At 54.4% G+C, this 6,397-nt stretch overlaps 1 annotated feature.

Moving 5' to 3' along the window:
- Nucleotides 3,209–3,882: an enhancer, noted in NCBI's record as "H3K27ac-H3K4me1 hESC enhancer chr7:73313687-73314360 (GRCh37/hg19 assembly coordinates)". NCBI's record gives its function as "activates a minimal SCP1, AML or CMV promoter by ChIP-STARR-seq in primed H9 embryonic stem cells {active_cell/tissue: H9 hESC(primed)}" and the evidence as "EXISTENCE:reporter gene assay evidence [ECO:0000049][PMID:30033119]".

The raw sequence follows: 6,397 nt of genomic DNA, 5'->3' as shown, positions 1-6,397 counted from the left end.
GGCATTGGGCAAGTTATTGAATCTCTCCAAGCCTCAGTTTTCCCATCTGTAAAGTGGGAGTGGCCAGGTGCAGTGGCTCACACCTGTAATCCCAGCACTTTGGGAGGCCGAGGTGGGAGGATCACTTGAGCCCAGGAGTTCGAGACCAGCCAGGGCAACAAAGTGAGAACCTGTCTCTACAAAAAATTAGCCGGTGTTGCCAGGTGCCATGGGCTCACACCTGTAATCCCAGCACTTTGGGAGGCCGAGGCAGGTGGACCACCTGAGGTCGGGAGTTCAAGACCAGCCTGGCCAACATGGTGAAACCCTGTCTCTACTAAAAATACAAAAATTAGCCGGGTATGGTGGCAGGAGCCTGTAATCCCAGCTACTCGGGAGGATGAGGCAGCAGAATCACTTGAACGTGGGAGGCGGAGGTTGTGGTGAGCCGAGATCGTGCCACTGCACTCCAACCTGGGTGACAGAGCAAAACTTCATCTCAAAAAAAAAAAAAAATTAGCTGGTGTGGTAGTGTCCACTTGTAGTCCCAGCTACTCAGGAGGCTGAGGTGGGAGGATTGCTTGAACCCAGGAGGTTGAGGCTGCAGTGAGCCAAGGTCATGCCACCCCACTTCAACCTGGGTGACAGAAAGAGAACCTGTCTCAAAAATAAAATAAAATAATAAAAAATAAAATAAAATGGGAATGATAGCAAAACCCAGGGCCATTGGAGAATGACATGGGCTAAGGCAGGAAAGAGCCTGGCCCTGTGGGACGGGGACGGCAAACCTGGGCACAGTTATCTTCATCCTCTCCAGGCTCCTCTGAGGAGCACCCAGAGACCCCAGCTCAGGGAGGCAGTGCAAACCAGGGACCCCCAACTTCCTGGTCCGGAGCCCCTGCTGGAGAGGGACATGGGTCCTCAGCCCTGAGCATCAATGAGGTTTGGGTGAAGGGAGAGACAGAGGCCCAGCCAGACCCTGCACATTCCAGCCCTGGTTCATTCCGGATCCAAGCACTGAGACCTCTCCCCACCTGGGCGCCCAGCCAAGCCCCCCTATGATGGTGCCAGATCCGGAGGACAGCCCGACCGGGCCGGAGCTTGCTCTCTGATGAGTCCTTGAAAGTCCACCAGCCCGAGCTCCTCTTCCGCCTTGAAGGGGGCCTGCATATGTAGGGCTGCATTCCCGGCATGCCATGGCTGGGGGAGCAACTGGAGGTCTCCCCAGAAAGTGCATGACTCCAGGTCAGATCCTGGGAAAAGGCCACAGCCCCAGGACCTGGAGCAGAGGGACTGAGGGCCAAGCTGGCACTGGGGGAGAAGGAGGGGAGTTAGGAGGAGGGGAGTTGGGGGAGGGGGAGTTGGGGGCGCCTGAGGGGGAGGGGGAGTTGGGAGACGGGACTTAACAAGAGGGTGGGGCTCAATGAGGCGGGACAGTGAGGAGGAGGAGTAAAGGGGCTTAGGGGTGGGGAAGGCAACTCAATGGAGAAAACGGGGGTTCATGCATGGCAGAGGGCCCAGGCTTTCCCTCCCTGGTCATACTTCTCCTGCCACTCAGCTCTCTTCACGCCACCCACTCTAAGACATGCCCTCTGACCTCCCACCTGCCTGGGGCTGACCACTCTGCCTTGTCTCTTTCCATCCAGGGCCTTGGAGAACTCCAGCACAGAATGGCCCCAGGCCTGGACACTCTCTGAGGACATCTCTGCAAAGGCCCCACTGGCCCAGGCCAGTGGGATGTGGGCTCCTGGCCCTGTCCAGGCTCTCATGCCATGGGGCAGGGTGGCAGGGGCCCCTCCCTGGGTTTGCTCTGGGGTGGCAGAGAGCCACTGTGGTTCAGTTCAGGGTGGTGAGCAGCTCTCTCTGGCAGCCCAAGGAGGCCTTCCTGGAGGAGGAAGCCTGACCCTCTAGCTGGGCTTGAATGGGGAAGAGGCTAGGTAGAGGCCTGGCAGTGGGGCAGGGGTGGGGACTGTCTGTGAGCAGCTGTGTGGCACGTATGGCAGGAAGAAGGACTGGAGGGGTAGACAGGCACTGCCATCCATAGCCTGGAAAGTGTCACCAACAGGGCAGGATTTCATCCGAGAAATAACAGGGAGGCCGGGCACGGTAGCTCTGGCCTGTAATTCCCACGCCTTCAGAGGCTGGGAGGATGGCTTGATCCCAGGATCTTGAGACCAGCCTGGGTAACATAGCGATACCTCCATCTCTGCAAAAAAAAAAATTTTTAATTAGCCAGGTGTGGTGGTGCACACCTGTAGTCCCAGCTACTGGGGAGGCTGAGGCGAGAGGATCACCTGAGCCCAGGAGGTTGAGGCTGCAGGGAGCTATGATCGTACCAGCACACTCCAGCCTGGAGGACAAAGCAAGACTCTGACTCTTCGAAAGAGGCAGTGTATGCGGGGGAGGGACTGCCAGGATGGGGGTCCCGGCTTTGACACTCTCCCTGAGGAGCAGGAGAAGAAAGGGGGTACCCTGGGGGCTGCTGTTCCTCATTGGGCTCAGGAAACTTCTGGGCTCTGTCCCCACCCACTCACACACTTCATCCATGAAGGATGCATTATACAAGGAAGCCGGGTGGTTCATGCATCCATCCTCAGGCCCTCTCCAACATCAAGGGTGAGACCAGCTTCCAGGCCCCAAGTCCCGTCAACCGAGAGGGGCTGCGGGTCACAGGGCCTGTGGCAGCTGGAGCAATTCCTCCCCCAAGCCTCTCACCACCCACCCCCTGGGGAATGCAAGTTGCCCTGGAAATACTGTTTAGGTACAAACACTTCTTCAGGCTATGTCCTGGGGGAGAGTGGGGAGGGGGAAGCAGGCTGGGCAGAGGCCAGGGGCGTGGGAGGTATACAGAGACCCCTTTTGGTCACCAAGTGGCTCTGCTCCCCGGGGAAGGGAGGACCAGGGCTGATGCTGCATTTCCTGAGGCCCAAAGGGAGAGCTGGGGGTGTACAGGGGATTCCCAGCAGAGGACAGCCCTAGATCAGAGCCCCAAGGCCCGGATTCTCCACCCTGGTCTGCTACTGGGTCTGAATCTCAGTTTCCCCGTCTGTAAAATGGATAGGTTTTCTCCTTGGTTCCTTCGACCCGTTTTTCAACTTTCATGTTCTCTGCTGCTGTCATAGTCTCCTCTGAGGGGAAGAGGGGTCCAGAGGCCTTTCCTGCACAGCCTGTCGGAGAAGCCCCTCTCTGCCACTCACTTCCTGACTCCGTGTGCCCACGTGAGAAGGAGCAGCTGGTGGGTAGAGCTGCTGAAGGGCCTGAGCTGGAGAAATATCCTGGAAGGGCAGGGTGGGGAGGAATTTGGAAATTTTTAGAACCTTGACAGCCCTGTGAGTCAGTGGGGCAGATGGAAGCGATTAGGCGCTGGCAGGAGGCACCGTGGGGCGGAGACGGGAACCAAGTATGGCTTGGAGCTCAGACCCCGACGAGGACGGGTGGCTTCCTCCAAGCCTGCGTAGCCAGCTGCCGGGGGCCGGGCCTGGTGTGCATGTTTGAGGCACCAAGCTAGACCGTACAAAGAGGTTCATGTGATGGGGTGCCCAGGATGCTAGGGCCACAAGAAAGGGATGGGACACAGAATGAAGGAACACTCCTGCCACTGGGTCACAACATTGCTGTCCAGAGGAGGGCAGGTTTCCATTGCCTGTCCCCAGCCCCCAATATCTACACCCCTTCCCAGAAGGATCTACCCTACTGATAATACAAACACATTCCCCAACAATCCAAAATCATACACTCGGCCGGGTGCAGTGGCTCATACCTGTAATCCCAGCATTTTGGGAGGCCGAGGCAGGTGGATCACCTGAGGTCAGGAGTTTGAGACCAGCCTGGCCAACATGGCAAAACCCTGCCTCTACTAAAAATACAAAAATTAGCTGGGCATGGTGGCGAGCGCCTATAATCCCAGCTACTCCGGAGGCTGAGGAAGAAGAATCACTTGAACCCAGAAGGTGAAGGTTGCGGTGAGCAGAGATCATGCCACTGCACGCCAGCCTGGGCTACAGAGTGACTCTGTCTCAAAACAAACAAACAAACAAAATCATATACTCCCCTGACAGCAGGCTACCCTTGTGTCTCTTAGGGATGTCTCATCTCTAGGCGAAAAGAAAGCAAAGAGTAAGTCATCTTTCAAAGAATTCAATTTTTTAAATTTTTTTAGAGACAGGGTCTTGCTCTGTCACCCAGGCTGGAGTGCAGTGGGGTGTGATCACAGCTCCCTGCAGCCTTAAACTCCTGGGCTCAAGTGATCCTCCCACCTCAGCCTCCCCAGTAGCTGGGACTATAGGCATGCACCACCATGCCCAACTGATTTTTAAAATTCTTTGTGGAGATGAGGGTCTCACTGTGTTGCCCAGGCTGGTCTCCAACTCCTGGCTCAAGTGATCCTCCTGCTTCGGCCTCCCAAAGCACTAGAATTACAGGTCAGGATTATGCCCAGACTTATGTGCTGGACGTAAGTCACAGTGCCCAGCCAGAATTCAGTTTTAAAACTGAATTTAGATCAAGCACCTCCTTGGGCCAGGCACATGCCAGGTTCTAAGGATCCTAAGAAAAGCCAACTGAGGCCGGGTACCATGTCTCACTCCTGTAATCCCAGCACTTTGGGAGGCCAAGGCAGGAGGATCACTTGAGGTCAGGAGTTTGAGACCAGCCCAGCCAACATGGTGAAACCCCGTCTCTACTAAAAATAGAAAAATTAGTCGGGCATGGTGGTCCACACCTGTGATCCCAGCTACTCGAGAGGCTGAGGCAAGAGAATCGTTTGAACCCAGGAGGCGGAGGTTGCAGCGAGCTGAGTTTGTGCCACTGCAATCCAGCTTGGGTGACAGGGCGAGATTCTGTCTGACAAAAAAAAAAAAAAAGAAAAAAAGAAAAGCTAACTGAATGTCTTTCCTCAAGGAGTTCCCAGTCAAGTAGGGGAGACTGGTCACTAAGAATCACAAGCTTGATGCTTTAGAATGGATCCCTGAGGCCGGGATGGGTAGCTCCCGCCTGTAATCCTAGCACTTTGGGAGGCTGAGGTGGGAAGATCACTTGAGGTCAGGAGTTTGAGAGCAACCTGGCCAATACAGTGAAACCCTGTCTCTAGTAAAAATACAAAAATTAGCCGGGTGTGGTGATAGGCACCTGTAATCCCAGCTACTCAGGAGGCTGAGACAGAAGAATTGCTTGAACCTGGGAGATGGAGGTTGCAGTGAGCCAAGATCTAGCCACTGCACTCCAGCCTGGGAGACAGAGCAAGACTCTGACTCAAAAAAAAAAAAAAAAAGAAGAATGAACCCCCAGAGCCTGTGTGGCAGCAGGCTGGACTGGAAGCCCGTGCGGTGGAGGCTGGAGAGCTGAACCCGGTCCTGGAGAGAAGGTGAGCAGGAAGGGGCAAGTAGGTAGGAGGAGCCCAAAGGAAGCCTAGGAAGAGGCAGTGGGGGGTTCCACCATGCTGCTCCCCGACACAGAAGGACCAGCAAGGAGCATGGGATGCAGGGCACATGGGGGCAGGCAGAGGAGTGAGGACAAAAAAAGGGAGTGGACGGCCAGGTGCAGTGGTTCACACCTGTAATCCCAGCACTTTGGGAGGCCAAGGCAGGAGGATCACCTGAGGTCAGGAGTTTGAGACCAGCCTGGGCAACATGGTAAAACCCCGTCTCTACTAAAAATACAAAAACTAGCCAGGCGTGGTGGCATGCACCTGTAATCCCAGCTACTCAGGAGGCTGAAGCAGGAGAATCACTTGAACCCAGGAGGTAGAAGTTGCAGTGAGCCGAGATCATGCCATTGCGCTGCACCCTGGGCAACAAGAGCAAAACTCCATCTCAAAAAAAAAAAAAAGATCACTCTGGTAGCCTGTGATCAGGCCAAGATAAAATCTAAACTAAGTGGCAGTAGGTAAAGAAGAGGGCACAGGCATAGGAGGGCTTTAGGAGGTAAAGTCAGCTTTGGGTGGAATTGGCATCTTAACAATCATAAGCCTTCCAATCCATGAACATGGGATGTCTTTCCATTTATTTAGATCTTTCATTTCTTTCAATGATGTTTTGTAGCTTTTGGTGCACAAGTCTTGCACTTCTTTTTAAACAATTTAAAAATTTAAACTTGATAATGAGGTATAGGGAGGTGAGGTGGGAAAAGGAGGCATCTAGGAAGAGAGCTGTGTTCCTGTGGGGAAGCAGGAGGATGGAGATGGTGCAGGTGGAGATGAAGACAGTGGAAGAGGAGCTTGAGGTTGGGGCAGTCACCGAGTCTCCTTTGAACCTGACTTTCCAACATCTGGGACATCTCAGTGGAGAAGGCCTACAGAGCTGGCTGAAAGACTGAAGCCTTCAATAAGGATGAAGGGTCCTAAACACAAGGCCAAAGAGCTCAGAATTTTCTTGTGGATAAGATGATGGGGAGCTGTTGGCAGCTTTATGCAGAGAAGTGA

Source organism: Homo sapiens, chromosome 7, assembly GCF_000001405.40.
Source record: "Homo sapiens chromosome 7, GRCh38.p14 Primary Assembly".
Classification (NCBI taxonomy): domain Eukaryota; kingdom Metazoa; phylum Chordata; class Mammalia; order Primates; family Hominidae; genus Homo; species Homo sapiens.
The sequence above is the reverse complement of the archived record's forward strand: the minus strand, read 5'-3'. Positions and strand labels throughout refer to the sequence as shown.